Genomic DNA, 17,982 nt, shown 5'->3' with positions numbered 1-17,982 from the left:
AAATCTGGCCTAAAATTTTATAAAATACTTTCTTATAAAATACTGGTTTCTCTAGTCTGAATTATTTCTACAGGAGTGAGATCTTAATTTACACCATAGTATTTGGTCCAAAATATATGGGCATGTGTCTCCCATTGGCGTTATATAATGAGTTGCAAAGGTTGTTAGAGATTAGGCTTAATGTGTGTGTGTGTGTGTGTGTGTGTGTGTGTGTGTGTGTATATTTTTGTTGTTGTTGTTGTTGTTGTTATTGTTGAGACGAGCTTTCACTCTGTCATTCAGACTGTAGTGCAGTGGTGCCATCTCCTCTCACTATAGCCTCGACCTTCCAGGTTCTAGGGATCCTCCCACCTCAGCCTCCCAAGTAGTTGGGACTATAGACGCACACTACCATGCCTGGCTAATTTTTGAATTTTTGGTAGAGACGGGGTTTTGCCTTGTTGCCCAGGCTGGTCTTGAATTCCTGGGCTCAAGAGATCTGCCGTTCTTGGCCTCCCAAAGTGCTGGGATTACAGGCATGAGTCACCGTGCCCAGCCAAGGCTTCACGTATTTTAATCCACTTGTAAGAAGTCAGTGGGAGCTTGCACCAAAAGTAGCTCTCTCTGTGGCAGACTGAAATAAAGGTGATACAGAATTACATTGTAACATTATCGAACCACTTTTACTGCAGAGAGGACCTCCTTGTAGAAATGTTAGCCCCTACCCAGAGGGCTTATTGAGTTCAGAAAGTCCAGGCCCTCGCCGCAGATTTTCATGACTGCATTACAGCAATATAGTCCCACATAGATATGGGTGCCTGGACTTGTGTATCGGCCTATTTCCTGCCCATATGTCTTTCCTGAATGCTTAGTTATTTTATGAGTTATGCAAAAGAAATAGGTTGAGACAGCAGAATAAACGGTAGTTTCAGTGTTTCATTTTTTCTGAAGACAATTATGGAAACTCCCCAGAGAGTTACTTTCCAGGAAGACATCAGCTCTTTCTGGACAGTGGACCACAGTGCCATTCATGCCAGACGAGGGGTAGCTCATGCTGGCAACCCGGTCATTAACTCCGTATTCAGAGTTGAGCCTTTGGTGCTTTATGGTGAAGCCACTTTCGGTCTCTGTGTCAAAACCTCAGTAGATTTCTGTTTAATTGTTTTTAGGATACAGTATTGTATGATTTAAGAAAATTAGCTTTTTTCAAAAGTAGCTCTTCAGCAGCGATTCAGTATAAATTCTAGGTTAAGGCATTTGCTGAAGGTATCCTCTACTAAGTGTCCATTGTGTGCACATTTCAAAGAGTCGGCGACCAGAACGATGAGGTTTCAGTGAGGCTTTTTATTTCTTTGTAAAAGAATCAAGGGCAGAATTGCTGTTTCCATTGGAAGTGGCAACCTTGAGACTAGGGGTGGTGTGGAAGCCCAGTGTGCACACAGGGGTCTAATTCTTTTTTCTGCTTCTGCCTCTTTTTTTTTTTTTTTTTTTTTTTTTGAGATGGAGTTTTGCTCTTGTCACCCAGGCTGGAGTGCAATGGTGCAATCTCGGCTCACTTGCAACCTCCACCTCCCAGGGTTCAAGCGATTCTCCTGCCTTAGCCTCCCGAGTAGCTAAGACTACAGGTGCCCGCCACCATGCCTGGATAATTTTTGTATTTTTAGTAGAGATAGGGGTTCACCATGTTGGCCAGGCTGGTCTCGAACTCCTGACCTCAGGTGATCCATACCTGCCTCAGCCCCCCAAAGTGTTGGGATTACAGGCGTGAGCCACTGTGCCCAGCCGCTTCTGCCTTATTAAAAAAAGAAAAAAAGATGGAATAGCACCAAGAGGGAGAGGAGGAGAAGGGAGGGTAGGACTTTCTCCTCCTACTGATCCTGCTGGAGAGTTTAAAACTTAAATATGGAGTATGAGCAAATCCTGGGCTTCCACATGGAATAAGGCAGGTGAGAGAAAAGAGCTAAAGGTTTCATCAGGATGCGTGGTGAATTATAACCGGTATGGGTAGACTAATGAGATAAGTGACAAATACTCCTAGCCATTGGGTTTTTTTTTTTCCTTTTTTTTTTTTTTTTTTTGAGACAAAGTCTTGCACTGTCACCCAGGCTGGAGTGCAGTGGTGAGATCTCAGCTCACTGCAATCTCCACCTCCCCGGTTCAAGCAGTTCTCATGCCTCAGCCTCCTGAGTAGCTAGGACTACAGGCCCACACTATCATGCCTGGATAATTTTTGTATTTTTAGTAGAGATGGGGTTTTACCGTGTTGACCAAGGCCATTGGTTACTTTAAATCTTGCTTTTTCCTTTTTGCATTAGCTTTTACATTAAAATTGTTAACCCTCTCTTATAGTGAACCCTTTATTCTTTACAGTGAAAGAGGGGGTTGACACACCTCTCTCCAGGTGAAGCCTATATCTGTAGGTTATGTAGCCATGTCAGAGGGAACATTCTCTAGACAGAATACCCTGGGGAAATTCACAGCCTTTTACTTCTTCACACTTGTGAACCTAAACATCAGAAGTGATGGCAGATGTCACTCTGTATCAGGTCAAGTCTGTCTTCTTGACTAGTTCTGTATACAGTAGGAGGATTGAGGAGTAAGGAGAAAGCTGGTCTCTGGGGAGCACAGAGTATATGACTGGGAGAAGATTCATTTAACATGACAATTGTACTCCATCTCATCCATCTCATGGTAGTTCAGAAATGCCTATATTCCTTCTTAAATTCACCAGGATTTTTGTTTTTTCTTTCACCCCCTTTTTGCCTTTCTTATTTTCATCCTTCCATTTCACTCATTTCCACTCATGTTTAGCAGTTTCTATCCTTTTCTTTCCTGGCGTTTTAGCGTCACACATAGAAACCTATCACCATCAACGAGCCTCACGCGTGGTCAGACAGCCTCTGACACATCCACACAGGGCTGCCAAAATGCACCACAGAAAGCCAAACAGAATCAGTAAGCTTTGATTCATCATTTCTACCCTGTGGTGCCCAATCCTAGACTCTTGCACAATACATCCTTTCCATCTGTCTATTTGGCAAAAACAACAGAAAAATGGGAGCTTATGTCTAAAAGAATTGAAGCACTTTATTCAGTGAAATATTTGAACTTAGAAAACACCATGGTATGGGATCATCGAAGCAGATTATGTTATTTTTTAATTTAAAAATTGTATCCAACAGCAACTCACGGCAATCCATCTAAAAAGGCTGAGATCTGTGCAACGAGGTAAAAGCTCGAGCTCTCAGTCCCTGGTCCTTCCTTTGGTCACATCCCAAATGAGTGTTTTTCTTTTCCCCGTGGGAGAGTTTGTTTGCCATCGTGTTCATCCTGGCCAAAGCTCGTGGCTTGCAGTGTTGACTGTCCTGCCTCTTGGTTGGGTGAATTTTTGAGAAGCTTTTCTTGGTGCCAGACCAACCTGTTACAGAGACTCTACTGAAGAACAGTCAGATGTACTTGACATGAACATTCCAAGAAAGTCGACTGAAACCCTTGGGCCTCCTGAAAATATTGATGCCCAAATAAAACCTTTTGTGAGAGAATAGAGCCAGAAACAAGAGTCATCTCCGAGGCTTTTACGTCGCTTTTATAAGATGATCATGATTTATTTTCCCTTCTGAGTTTGACAAGTTCGAATGAATCATCCCCTTCCTCTCATGCTGGGTCCTGTTCCTCTCTGACACCCCAAGTCACTCTCTGATGCTACATCAGGTTGTTCAAATAAAAGGATTGTGAGGAAAAAAAAATCATCCACACAACAATTTGAAGTTTAGAAGAAATTACAATTAGACCCATTCGAAGTGGCTTCTCTCTCTTTTCTTAAAGCTTCTAAACCAATCTTCTTTGATTTTGCATGTGAGGATACTGAGTCCTGCAGAGGTCACTCGCTGAAGGTGATGCTCAGGTGTCCTGTCCTAAGACAATGACTTCTGTCCTCTGCCCTTCAACCTCTTTAGATCAACAAATTAAAGAAAAATGTTTTTGGGTTTGGAAAAGAAAGGAATTTAGCATAATGTCCTCTCCCCATTAGAATGGCAACTGGGATGTTTTGTGGGTCAGGAATACTTATTTTTCAGCTTATCCCCAGTGCTTAGTCAAACTGATATGCCAAAAAATGTCTTTAGCTGGAAACCAGGATCGGACAATCTAGTAAACAAGGATGAGCAAACAGAAAAATAGGGGCTGGAATTCAGAATTGGTCATTCACAACAATAACCTGCCCACCTTGGCCTGGTCTAGCTTACTAGCCAGCGCCCTCGATCTGTGCCTCAAGAGTCACTAGACTCTGCCATGCAAAATTCCCGATCGTGTTTGACTTGTGTTTGGCAGTATTAAGTCTCTACATTGGCCAATGCCTCTGTGCTCCTGGACACTTGTGGTCGTGTCTGTGTGGCTCATGGCCCCTGTCTTTGTATGTATACATTGTCATTCCTTTTTCTATTTGTCTGGGGTGCCCTGGGAGTGGTTATTATTGCATAAAGAATACTCCTTAGTAGGGGCGAACGAGTACTTTGTCATCCATGAGAACTGACTTAGGCACAAGAAGCAAATAACTAGCACAGCACTGGGGAAGTGTAGAAACCATGGGGTTCCCTGGAAACCCTGGTGGACCTCCACATCATCCATATTTTTAGAATGATTGATGGGAGAAAGTAAGTGGTAAAATAGCAAAAATTGCAGGTGACAAGAATGACTATGAATGAACAATTTCAAGGCAGTGGCAGTGTTCTTGTTATTCAAACACAAGTATATATCCATACACACTCACATGCATACAGACAGATGAGCTGCAGCCCAGACACCTGTTAATTAGTGGGGTTTTGGGGGGAAATCTCTCTCATTGCCACACAGTGGGCATTAATTTTTAAATCCTCATATGCAGAAAAATCGGGAGACTTGCCTGTGGTCTCTTGAAGACATCAGCCCAGAGGTTCTGCTACAGCCCAGTAGGTATTATTAGGTGGAGGATATGGAAAGTGAACCAAAATGTTCACTTACTTTTCTAGAAAGCCACAGACCTAGAATATTCTACACAGTTTACAGAATTACAGAATTTTCAGAGAGGGACAGGTGACATGTTCAAAAGCGCAGAGACACAATGCTGGTGGGTGAGAACCAACTTCAAGGCTCAGGATTCCTCAGACTGGAAGGGCAAACGCTCTGTTAAACATTCCAACTCTGTTTTGAAGTACGGATAAAGTAAAAGGGCCTTGTTTAGTAAAATATTGGCTTTCTGAAACTAGCAGCCCTGCTCCCAAACTCGTGAAATTTGAAAGAAGTAAACTTTTATTTAGAGAGAGGAGGAAGGGAGATAAAGCCAGATTGACTCCAAGAGGTGCTATAGGTTGAAAGTGTGCCCTCCTCAGATAGAAGATGGACTGATCCAAGGTATGTCCTTGAGTCTGAGTCGAGGAATGCCATAAGACACACCTTAGTGCTGGAAACAGACTATTGAATTGCAGAAATAAAATAAAAAGCATCTGACTTAATTTATCCACTCCGGGTCCATTTAGTTACATTTTAATTTTAATTTTTTGAGACAAGGTCTCACTGCATTGCCCAGGCTGGAGTGCAGTGGCACAATCATGGCTCACTGCAGCCTCAACCTCCCAGGCTCAAGCCATCCTACCACCTCAGCCTCCTGAGTAGCTGGGACCACAGATGTGCACCACCATGCATCGCTAATTAAAAAAACATTTTTTCTGTAGAGACAAGGTCTTGGTATGTTGCCCAGGCTGGTCTCAAGCTCCTGGGCTCAAACAGTCCTCCTGCCTCAGCCTCCCAAAGTGCTGGGATTACAGGCGTGTGTCACCACACCCAGCCTATTTACATTTTTAAATACCTGCTATTCGCTAGAAGCTGAACTGATACATTGATGACACACACCAGTCTCCTGCCCTCACGTTGTTTATGTGGAGGAGACAAAGATAAATAACTAACGACAAAGCTATGTGGGAATGAAATAAATGTCAAAATGTCATGCAGAGAATAGCAATTGTCTATGAAAACATTGGGAAAGGGATCATTGATTCTGGTGTGTGAGATGGAACGCTGTCTCGAGGATGTTAGCATCTGAACTTGACCTTGAAGAATAAGAAGAACTGGGATAAGGTGGAAATTAGGAGGGAGGAGTGTCTGGCCTGAGGAATCTGTCTGAGCCGGGAGAGGGGAAGTGGCAGCTGTGATGCTTGGGGGCTGGCAAGTTGTCAGGGGAAGCCAGAACATGGGATGTGGGAGCATTGGTGGGAGAGGAAGCTGGAAGAATATGGCACAGATCATCTGTGGCATGAGTTTAGCCTCATGTTGTAGGGGTAAGAGTCCTTAATGGGTTCTGAAGATGGAGGTGGCTTGGTCTTGTCCATGTTTTAAGAAGATGATGCTGGAGCAATGGCAAGAAGCAACGGAGAGCTGAGAGGTAGAGCTGGAGCTGGATTGATGGCTGTGGCAGACACAGATTAGGTGCCAGGTCCCAGTGAAGCTCAGCCTCTGATAGACGCCGTGGGCAGGGGCTACAGTAAGGATCCAGGCATTGAAGGTCACTGTGGCACACGTCAGTACAGATCATCTTCACATTGGGGGTTTCCAGGATCACCTTCACACTACAAAGCTGAGGACACTGTTGCATATTTTAATTTGTTTTTCTCCTCCTTTTTTTTTTGTGACTCTTCTGTATTTATGCTTTGGTCAAAATAACTCTTTAAGAGCCATTGGAACTTAACATTTCTCTGTGGCATTCAGATGACAATTCACATTAATAATCTGCAAGTACTTTTGCTGATACCCTGTGAGTATCTATGGGCCTGTCTTTAACACCATCCTGTATCATTCCAAAACCTTTACTGCATTGAGAAATAGGTTCTGCTAATAATGGTTGCCCATTCAACCATGCTTTTTTTTTTTTAAATAGCCATTTCTCTCTATTGCCCAGGCTGAGGTGCAGTGGCCTGATCATAGCTCACTGTAACCTTGAACTCTTGGACCCAAGTGATCCTCCTGCTTTAGCCTCCTGAGTAGCTAGGACTACAGGTATGTGCCACCATGCCCAGTTTATTTTTTAATTTTTTGTAGAGATAGGGTTTCACTATGTTGCCCAGGCTGGTCTCAAATGTCTGGCTTCAAGTGATCCTCCCACCTTAACCTCCCAAAGTGCTTCAACCATATGTTAATATGACCAGGATGATTACATTGAATACAAAGAAAATGTAGTACTCTGCTTATTTTATTACTGTAGGTAGCACTCATTTGAGGCTGCTTTGTATTTATGTTGGTTTACTGAATGTCTGTTTCTAGATAGACAGTCAGTTACTTGAGTACAAAGATTGTCTTTCGATCGTTTCCTGTGTTAAAGAAAAAAATTATTCTGACACTTACTAAAACTGTAAGGAAGACTTTATTAACAGGATTCTTGCTGAAGGCAGGCCAAGGACATAGACATCAAGGGTGGAAGGTAAGGAACTTGATCAGTTATCAAGGGTGATCAGATATCAGGGGTGCAGGGATTCTGGCTAAACTGACTTAGTAGGATTATTGCTACAAATAAACAGGCTGAAGACAGGGCTCAAGGGCAAGGAAGAGGGCTCAGAGGGGCCCATTAAGATTTGCTCAAGGAAGAGAGTCTTTGTCACCCCCAAACCCTAGAACTGTTTGTTACAGGTATTAAAACTGGAAAATATGTAGTTACGGGATGAAGTGTTCTGTAATGCCCATGCAAAACCTGCTTCCAGATCAGGAAGCCTCACGAGAGACTGTTTCGTCACAGGGGGAACGCTCAGTGAAGGAGGCAGCCAGTGCGTTAACAGGTGGCAGAAGAAAGGGGGTTTTGAGAGCATGGTCCCCATCAGACACATCTGCTCCAAACTTGACTACTCAATTTACTTATATTTTGGTAAAAAAAAAAATAATAAGTTTGGGGTTTTGGTTTTAATTTGAGAAAGCATTAACCCTTAAAGGGAAATCTGTTTTCCCTTGGTAGTTTTTCAAACTTATTAGGATCCTTTTATTCTTTTTTTTTTTTTTTTTTTTTTAAGATAAATACAGAAACAACTACCTTCAGGATCCAGTGATTGAAAGTAGCTCAGCAAGAATTTTATAAAGGAAAATAAATAGAGAGAGAAGAATGGACTATGATAGTACCATGAATTGAAGTAGGACGATAGATTATTTTCTACATTCAGACTTCTAAAAGGTGCTTCTAATGAGCCACAGTGGTGTTATTTATTTGTCCTGTGGTCTTCAGACCTTGAAGGCTTAAGAGTAGAAGAACTGAATAAAGGTGGATAATATCAAGCATGGAATCTTTATGAAAAGGTAAATGAGACATCCTTGCCCCCATGGCTAATTTCATTGTTTTACTTGGAAAAGGATTAACTGCTCAGAAATTTTTTTAGTAGAAAACAGAAACTTAAGAGAAAGCAGTAAAGTTCCTCTTTGAGTTAGACCCTAGAGACTACAAGGAAAGTATGTTTTGAGGTTTCATCTGAAATTGAAATATGTTAAAATGTTAGGAAACTAAAAATCAAGTGGATTGAACATCAGAATTTCAATATTCTTTTTGTTATTTTCATATCACACAAGGTTGTTTGTACTTGGGGACAGGGTATACCATTATCAGAATACTCTTCAGTGGTTAGTTCCAATAGTACGCACCCACCAGGCAATTCAAAAGGACCTACAGTATACTGGGATTTTTATTAGCTGATACCAGCAATCCTGCCTCCCACTGACGTCGTACAGTTGCACATGGAGGCTTCGTGTGGAAAGTGTGTGTCTGAGTGGCCAGTGGAGAGGTCAGAGAACAGTCCTGGTGCCTATTAAGACCGCACAGGTTTCTCTTCTTTTCCCCCTTCCCTGTCGCTGTGCTGTGGTTATTGGTCAGCACTGTCTTTTTATCGTGTATGAATAAGGAATATGAAGGAATATGAAGCGGCTGAGCTTGTTTCACTGGCAGAGCCGAGACTCTTGAAAGCCGAGTGACTGTTTTGTTACCAGCCAAAGTAACGTGTTCAGAATGCATTATGCTGCTTGGGGCAATGAGGTTAACTTAGTGAGGAGGCTGTGCAGTCTACTGGAGGGATCATGATCTGCACTTGCAGGACCATGATTTATCTTTTGCTTTTTATGGTCCATTTATTCCCCCCCTTCCTTCTTCACCCCACAGCACCCTGTAGAAATCATAATTCTTCATAAAGTAGCATTTTGTCACGATGGAAATGAGAGCATTGAATCTGGAATTTTATGAATGCACTATCCCACCCAGTAGTCTAGGTATAGAAGAGGTAAAAAATGACCTTGACAATGATTCGTAAGGTTTGATCTCATACTGAGTCTGCTTTTTTTGTTTGTTTTTTAAATTTATTTTGCAGACTTTTAAACATAGAAACAGAAAGTTCATCCTGAGGGAAGCAAGATGAGTAGTGGCTTCTCAGGGGACAGAAGGTAGAAGTTAAACATATAGTTGTCTCTCTGGTTTCTTAATGCTGCAAGAGATTCCTGAGACTTGAAATTGCTAGGATAAATGGCCAGGCACTGAATTCATGGTTACTGTAATTAGTCATGTCACTTGGGTACTTTAAACTCCAAATCAATGAAAGTTAATTGTGAACTGACTGAAAGTTAATTGTGATCAGTGCAGGCATGTACAAACATGCTCACTGTTATTCTACTTTAAAAGTCAATCAATTTTTGGCCAGGTGCGGTGGCTCACTCCTGTAATCCCAGCACTTTGGGAGGCTGAGGCAGGCGGATCACCTGAGGTTAGGAGTTTGAGACCATCCTGCCCAACATGGTGAAACCGCGCCTCTACTAAAAATACAGAAAAATTAGCTGGCCTGGTGGCGGGCGCCTGTAATCCCAGCTATTTGGTAGGCTGAGGCAGGAGAATCTCTTGAGCCCAAGAGGAGGAGGTTGCAGTGAGCCAAGATTATGCCACTGCACTCCAGCCTGGGTGACAAGAGTGAAACTCTGTCTCAAAAAAAAAAAAAAGTCAATCGTTTTTATGCTTTCATAGTAGTTATTCTCCTCCCTCATGAAGCTCAGAATTGGAAATTGCTTCTTCCCTCCTGTAGAGAAACGCAGAAGCTATCTGTGGTGCCGAGACCCAGGAAGTCAGAGTCAGGAAAACAGGCACTAGTGCCACCAGGGAACACAAACAGAGTCCGTGTCTGTGGCTTGAATTCAGCTGGCGCCCAGAAACTAACTTCCTGTGTAGGCTCCTTTGTGAGCAAAATCTGGGTTTCAGATCTTCATTCTGTTGTGGCTTTGAGAGCCCAGTGCACGCTCTAGGGTCACACCGAGACGGGGCTGACTCAGAGGAAGGATCCCTCCTATTGAGTCATCACCCCACTTCCTGTGGGTCCAGAGTTTTCTTTGGAGGCTTCTCATTCAAGTGGTCCCTGGCCTTAGCCTGAAAGGTCTGGGAAATGCAGAAAGGTGAGAATTGAACATTTTCAGGTCATATTTGCTTCTACATTTCATACCTGCAGAAAGGCATCATTTCATCCCATGAACAGTTTATGTCAAGAAGAAATAGAAAGCTGTGGTGGAAAAAACTCAGAGCTTTCTGTTATGACACTTATTGATTGACTGATTGAGACAGAGTCTCACTATGTCTCCCACGTTGGAGTGCAGTGGCACGATCACGGCTCACTGCAGCACCTTCCTGGGCTCAAGTCATCCTCCCTTCTGAGACTTTCAAGTAGCTGGGATTACAGCACACATGAGCACACCCAGCTAATTTTTGTATTTTATTTTATTTTTTTTTCCTTATTTCCATTTCTTTTTTTTTCTTTTTTTTTTTTTTTTTTTTTTATTATACTCTAAGTTTTAGGGTACATGTGCACATTGTGCAGGTTAGTTACATATGCATACATGTGCCATGCTGGTGCGCTGCACCCACTAACGTGTCATCTAGCATTAGGTATATCTCCCAATGCTATCCCTCCCCCCTCCCCCGACCCCACCACAGTCCCCAGAGTGTGATATTCCCCTTCCTGTGTCCATGTGATCTCATTGTTCAATTCCCACCTATGAGTGAGAATATGCGGTGTTTGGTTTTTTTGTTCTTGCGATAGTTTACTGAGAATGATGGTTTCCAATTTCATCCATGTCCCTACAAAGGACATGAACTCATCATTTTTTATGGCTGCATAGTATTCCATGGTGTATATGTGCCACATTTTCTTAATCCAGTCTATCATTGTTGGACATTTGGGTTGGTTCCAAGTCTTTGCTATTGTGAATAATGCCGCAATAAACATACGTGTGCATGTGTCTTTATAGCAGCATGATTTATAGTCCTTTGGGTATATACCCAGTAATGGGATGGCTGGGTCAAATGGTATTTCTAGTTCTAGATCCCTGAGGAATCGCCACACTGACTTCCACAATGGTTGAACTAGTTTACAGTCCCACCAACAGTGTAAAAGTGTTCCTATTTCTCCACATCCTCTCCAGCACCTGTTGTTTCCTAACTTTTTAATGATTGCCATTCTAACTGGTGTGAGATGATATCTCATAGTGGTTTTGATTTGCATTTCTCTGATGGCGTGGCAGGGTTTCACCATGTTGGCCAGGCTGGTCTTGAACTCCTGGGCTCAAGTGATCCACCTGCCTCAGCCTCCCAAAGTGCTGGGATTACAGGTGTGAGCCACTGCACCTGGCCTTTCTTTTTAAACTTTGTTGTTTGAATAGATAACTTCAGAATGTAAGTGATGAGAATGAGTAGGAAATTTTTTAATTACCCAGAAGCCAAAAGACATCCCCAAATCATTGGGTGTTTTCTTTTGGAAGGTACAGCTTTATCTTCTGTTTATAAAGTCTTAGACTTGATGGCTTTTGGTCAAAGATCACTATAAGATTTACAAACTCTACATTCAATAGTGTAAAAAAAAATGTACATGTAGAAAAAAATGCTGGAAGAAAATATGCTCAACTATTCACAGTGGATAGTTATTGCTGAGTGGTATGAATATGGCTGATTTTTCCTTCCTTTGTATACTTTTCTGTGTTTAACACACTGGGCATGTATAAGTTTATTAAAAAAACAGTTTTCAAAAAAAATTAATAAAACTTTATTGGAAGTGCAAGGTAGCACTGATTTCAGAGCATGGAAAAAGTTACTCTTTGCAAAACAATTTCATAAATGACCAGCAATAACATTTTGGTGCCTAAAATTATTAACTCCAATTTTTTAAAGGAGCTAATGAAGAAAGAAAGACTTAAAGTTATATACATGTCTAATTTACCTTTTTTCCTGAAATTGATCTTAAATGAATGGATTCAAGTAACCCCCCCGACCTCTCACCAAGGAACATCTGCTGCAAAGGGCAAAATAAAAGATCATGTTTAAGGTTATCTAGTTCTAGAACTCTGTGACTCAGACCTCCTTGACTTGAACCCAGTGATGTCAGGTTGGGATTGTAGCCCTGTGATATTTACACATCTCCTCAAATCACTCCCCTTGTATTTGCCACTTTGCTGACATATAGACTTACTATAGGGGGACACAGTGTCTGCCTCTCAGAGATTTATAATCTAAGACAGGTGTCAGTAGTGCAGGTGCTTGTAAAATGATGCATACAAACATTGCATTTTAATAGGTTTACCGTTCTCACAGCAGTTCAGGTTAAGGATCGGTACCTAGGAAGACATGCTCAAGAAGTATCAGAATTCTTAAGCCCTTACAAACTCACTGTGCTGACTCCACAACACTGTAAGGAATATCATGGCAGCCTGGGTGCCGTGGCTCATGCCTATAATCCCAGCACTTTGGGAGGCCAAGGCGGGTGGATCATCTGAGCTCAGGAGTTCAAGACCAGCCTGGCCAACGTGGTGAAACCCCCTCTCTACCAAAAATGCAAAAATTAGCCAGGCATGGTGGTGTGTGCCTATAGTCCCAGCTACTCGGGAGGCGGAGGTAGGAGGATCACTTGAGCCCGGGAGGTGGAGGTTTCAATGAGCTGAGATCATGCTACTGCACTCCAGCCTGGGAGACAGAGCGAGGCCCTACCTCAAAAAAAAAAAAAAAAAAAGAAATATCATGGCAGACCACACAGGACAATCTGTAACTATAACTGATTAGCTAGGACTCTTTGTGGCAGTTAGTTTAATGCTTGGTCAGGAAGAAAGAGACAAAAGAAACATTTGATCATGTGAGATTAAAACTTTAAAAATGAGTTTAAAAATTAGAACTATATTTTCTGAACTTTTGACAACTACTATTGTTCAGAATGTGGATAATTCATTTTATACCTAAAATGAAGTGGGCTTTCTGAAGCAGAGATTCTCCAGGGCAGACACTGCATGCCGTGTTTCTCCTTTGTGACTGCATAGGCATCAGTTCAGAGATTCATTGTGTCTTTCCCAGCCATCTCCTTTTTATATTTACAAGAGGTCACAAGAGGACAGTTAAAACTGATGACGCCTAAGGACAGATCACACGTAATAGAAGAGCTGCCGCAGCCGGTTCCCATTAGAAGGGCCTCCAAGAACAACACACACAGGAACTCGCCTGCTCTTCTCCTGATGGTCCACAGTCACCCCTGCCCTTTGAGCAGGAGGAGCGTGACCTCCTGCCACAGCTACAGCCACAGCCACAGCCACTCCCCTGACCACCTAGAAAAAGGGTTTGTAGTGTGAATGGGGATAAAATAGCAAACACTCATCAGAGACTGCCATGCAGGGAGGGTTCTGTTGGACTCCAAGATAATTATTAAGTGGCAATTATTGAAATTGTGGTCAACATTCCATTTAAAGCATTAAAGTCTGTTGTTTTAGTCCTGACTAAGCAGTAGGCTTCTATGGATTGGGTATTTTTTTTTTTTACCCACCCAAATGTGTTTTATGTTGAGATGTTTCGAGTTTTTTTGGGGGGTTGAGGGTGGTGCAGGTCGTGAGGGGCAAGAGCTGCTGCATAGGAGATAATTCTCTTTAACTGATTAATGTTTTTGCTTTATTCAACAGCTATTGAATTAGGCAGTCTGTACCTTTAGTGTTTTCCAGAACAAATGTGTTGAAGTGGCAGAAGGGTGGAAGAATTGAAAATTATTCTTGCACAGTTGCACCTGAGTTGTATTATTGCTCCATGTCTCCTTATGTGCACAAGTTTTACACAGTTATCTTGTCTTCCTATCTCAATTGTGAATAAATCAGAAGTTCCCTGTTAATGTTATATGTATCGCCTCAAAACACCTCCTTCGTTGCTAAGCAGAGGAGTTAGAAGCACAGACTTCGAAGCACAGTCGAAATGGCCCTTTGAGTGACACCTGGTGAGGCCAGGAGTCCGGCTTTATCGAGGCAGCAGCAGTGCATGCTCTCCAGTGTGAGACTGGTCATACCCTCGAGTGGCAAGGGAAGGTGAATGTCTCTGCAGTGGGTTGGAACCATCTGCAGGGCCGTTAGGCATCCAACTTTAATAACATTGTGTCAGGTAATCAGTGTGAGCTACTGTCTAACAGGGAAAGAAATGTATGGATTGGGTCTGTGGACAACAACAAGGTAACTAAGAAAAATAAGGCAAGTTTCATATAAAAAAGATACCTTAGAATAAACACCTAAAGCAAGTGTATTAGTCAGGTTTCTCTTAGAGGGACAGAACTGATAGGAGAGATATATATATGTGTGTATGTGTATATATACGTGTGTGTGTGTGTGTGTGTGTATCCTATAAACATATATGTGTGTGTACATATATATATACACACACACATATATATGTTTATAGGATACACACACACACACACACACACGTATATATACACATACACACATATATATAGGGGAGTTTATTAAGTATTAACTTACACGATCACAAAGTTCTGCAATAGGCCATCTGCCAGCTGAGGAGCAAGGAGAGCCAGTCCGAGTCCCAAAACTGAAGAACTTGGAGTCTGATGTTCGAGGGCAGGAAGCATCCAGCATGGGAGAAAGATGTAGGCTGGGAGGCTAGGCCAGTCTCTCCTTTTCATATTTTTCTGCCTGCTTTATATTCGCTGGCAGCTGATTAGATTGTGCCCACCAGATTAAGGGTGGGTCTGCCTTCCCCAGCCCACTGACTCAAATGTTCATCTCTTTCAGCAACACCCTCGCAGACACATCAAAAATCAGTACTTTGTATCCTTCAATCCAATTAAGTTGACACTCAGTATTAACCGTCACAGCAAGAAAAGGTAGAGTCAAACCTTGGTCATCTCTAGCTACCTCAAGCTGCCATACAAATACATTGAGAATCACGTCGTTGGAGGACCTTAGAGGCCATCAGACTCACACAAGACGTCCCAGTGATTACTCTAATATCCCAAAGCCAGATGTGCCAGAGAAAGAACCAAATCCTATGCCTGGGGATTCCCCATCCAGTCTCACCCTGTTTGAAATGCCAGTGAGCGCTGATAGAGTCTTTATTTCTCTGTTCAAAAAACATAGAAAGTATCCATTTCCTCAACTCTAGGTGTAAACCTAGCAAGAGTATACCTTAATTAGAGAAGTCAGCAGGGGTTTCACAACATTTTATTCTATTTTCAGCCCCTGTGAGACTCCAACAACAGTTTTCAGTCCATCACTGACAATCACATTATTTTTACAGAAGAAACAAAGTAAGCGTAAAGTAGACACAGACTCTCCCAGCCTATTACCTGCCAATCAGTCATGGACTTTGACACAGTCATTCATTCATTCTGCCGTTCAACACTACTTATTTGGGGCCTAGAATTGTTCTGGGTGCAGGGAGCACAAAGGAAAGAGGATGCCTGCATACCTGGAACTTTCAGTTGTCAACTGAGGGACACAAGTGACCCATTATGGTGTGGTGGGAGGGCTGCTCCGAAGACGGAGGCGCAGAGCTGGGGACATACATTGCAGACCAGGTTTCAGATGGGCACTCACTGTGTGACCTGGGGTGAGTAATGAAATTCTCTCTGCCTCCGTTCCTTCGTCTCTGTAGAAAAGGAGAACTAGCTGGGCATGGTGGCTCACATCTATAATCCCAGCACTTTGGGAGGCTGAAGCGGGTGGATCACCTGAGGTCAGAAGTTCGAGACCAGCCTGGCCAACATGGTGAAACCCCGTCTCTACTAACAATACAAAAATTAGCCAGGCATGGTGGCACGCACCTGTAATCCCAGCTACTAGGGAGGCTGAGGCAGGAGAATCACTTGAACCCAGGAGGCGGAGGTTGCAGTGAGCAGATACCGCGCCGTTGCACTCCAGCCTGGGCAACAAGAGTGAAACTCTGTCTAAAAAAACAAAGTTGGGGGTAGAGAACTAATAGAATTTGCTATGTAAGGTGATCACAGGACCAAATGATAAAGCTGTTCCCACATTCCTTGCCAGTAACACATGATAGTTATGGTTGCTGTTGTTGGTTTTAGACATGTAGAATGAGAGATGTCATGTGAGGAGCTCAGGAAAGAGCACTTGGCTGGAGAGGGGCTAGATCTGCATATCGCCAAGATCACGGAGTGAACTGAGACCTTGATTTTACTAAGATCAAGGGAGTATAGAAGAAGAAGAAGTGTAAAATGTAAAAATGTAAGGCAAAAGAGGAAAATAAAAATTAAAAAAGAGATAGCAGCTGGGCATGGTGGCTTATGCCTGTAATCCCAGTACTTTGGGAGGCTGAGGCAGGTGGATCACTTGAGATCAGGAGTTTGAGACCAGCCTGGCCAAGATGGCGAAACCCCATGTCTACCAAAAACACAAAAATTAGTTGGGAGTGGTGGTGCGTGCCTGTAGTCCCAGCTACTCAGGAGGCTGAGGCAAAAGAATTGCTTGAACCCAGGAGGTGGAGGTTGTGGTGAGCTGAGATCGCACCACTGCACTCCAGCCCGGGCAACAGAGCAACACTTTTTCTCAAAAAATAAATAAACAAATTAAAATAAAAAAGAGATAGAGACTAAAAGACCTTTAGAGAAGTCCATGGCCTTCAGCCCATATCTAAGGAAACAGATTTGCAGGAGGGGCTTTCAAACTTTTCCACCACCTGACACAGTAATAGTTCTTTCATTGCAGCCCAGTATGCACACACCAACATTTAAACAACTAAAATATACTTACATGCTGGATGTGACCTATCAAACTGATTTCATGACCCACTGTGGATAGCAATTCACGGTATGGAAGATGCCAAGCTAGAGGATTACAGTATTTATCAGACATCACTCTGCAAGTTGGTTCCAGAGCCAACAAGTTGGTTAATTTAACATCCCTGCTTGAAGATGGGTGAGAGTCATGCTCCCATTCAACAAGTCTTTATTGAGCACCTACTCTGTGCCAAGTAATTCAGTAAGCCATGATTGGATCATGATGGGCAGCTTACATGCTATGGGAGAAGGAACGGGGGTGGGGAGCTAACCCAGCCCAGGGATCAGAGAAAGGCTTCAGAGGAGCTGACATTGAGACGAGGGATGTGTAGGAGCAGCCAGGGGGAGGCAGGTGGGAGGGAGAATGGGATGGCTGAGGGGGAGGGAAGAATCTGTAGCTCTCAAGGAGACGCCTTGTGTCTGGAATCTAGAATGGAGAAGAGGAGGTGAGGGACCAGACCATGGAGGGCCTTAGAAGAAAAACTAAGGAGACAGAGATTTGGCCAAGGGGTGATGGGAAGCTGTGGAGGAGAGACAGGGTCAGAGCCGCATCTTCAGAGGTCCCTCCATCTGTGAAGCAAAATGGACTCGAGGGGACAACGATAAGGTCAAGAGAGATCAAGTAGTAATAGGGATTCAGCAAACTCCATGAGAAGTAATACTGGTCTGCACTAGGCGGTGGGTCTGGGAAGTGATAGATGGATATAATTGATACATAGGAGACAGAATCAACTGGACAAGGTGATTGATTGAAAATGGAGGAATAGGGGAGAGAGAAGCATCAGAGATAATGCCAAGTCTCGGTGAGAAGAGCCATTAAGAAATGGAGCATTGAAGGAACAGCCTTGTGGAGTGTCAGGGACTAAATGATGAATTCATTTCTGAACGCACTGAGATTGAAGCACCTGCCAGCCACCCAACAAGCACTAGC

General features: G+C 43.0%; 1 protein-coding gene across 2 annotated transcripts in view, besides 3 other annotated features; it reads left to right on the top strand.

The window, feature by feature from the left end:
* Positions 1-17,982, top strand: part of ANKH (ANKH inorganic pyrophosphate transport regulator) — a 166,979-nt gene that overhangs the window by 51,658 nt on the left and 97,339 nt on the right. The gene's annotated exons all lie outside the window — the stretch shown is intronic.
* Positions 9,453-10,652: an enhancer, noted in NCBI's record as "P300/CBP strongly-dependent group 1 enhancer chr5:14809578-14810777 (GRCh37/hg19 assembly coordinates)". NCBI's record gives its function as "activates an origin of replication core promoter dependent on BRD2, BRD4, P300/CBP, MED14 and CDK7 cofactors, with strong dependence on P300/CBP, by STARR-seq in HCT116 cells {active_cell/tissue: HCT116}" and the evidence as "EXISTENCE:reporter gene assay evidence [ECO:0000049][PMID:35650434]".
* Positions 9,750-9,819: an enhancer, noted in NCBI's record as "active region_22416". NCBI's record gives its function as "activates an Ori minimal core promoter by ATAC-STARR-seq in GM12878 lymphoblastoid cells {active_cell/tissue: GM12878}" and the evidence as "EXISTENCE:reporter gene assay evidence [ECO:0000049][PMID:35858748]".
* Positions 9,860-9,919: an enhancer, noted in NCBI's record as "active region_22415". NCBI's record gives its function as "activates an Ori minimal core promoter by ATAC-STARR-seq in GM12878 lymphoblastoid cells {active_cell/tissue: GM12878}" and the evidence as "EXISTENCE:reporter gene assay evidence [ECO:0000049][PMID:35858748]".

This window comes from Homo sapiens, chromosome 5 (assembly GCF_000001405.40).
Source record: "Homo sapiens chromosome 5, GRCh38.p14 Primary Assembly".
Taxonomy (NCBI): Eukaryota; Metazoa; Chordata; class Mammalia; order Primates; family Hominidae; genus Homo; species Homo sapiens.
The sequence above is the reverse complement of the archived record's forward strand: the minus strand, read 5'-3'. Positions and strand labels throughout refer to the sequence as shown.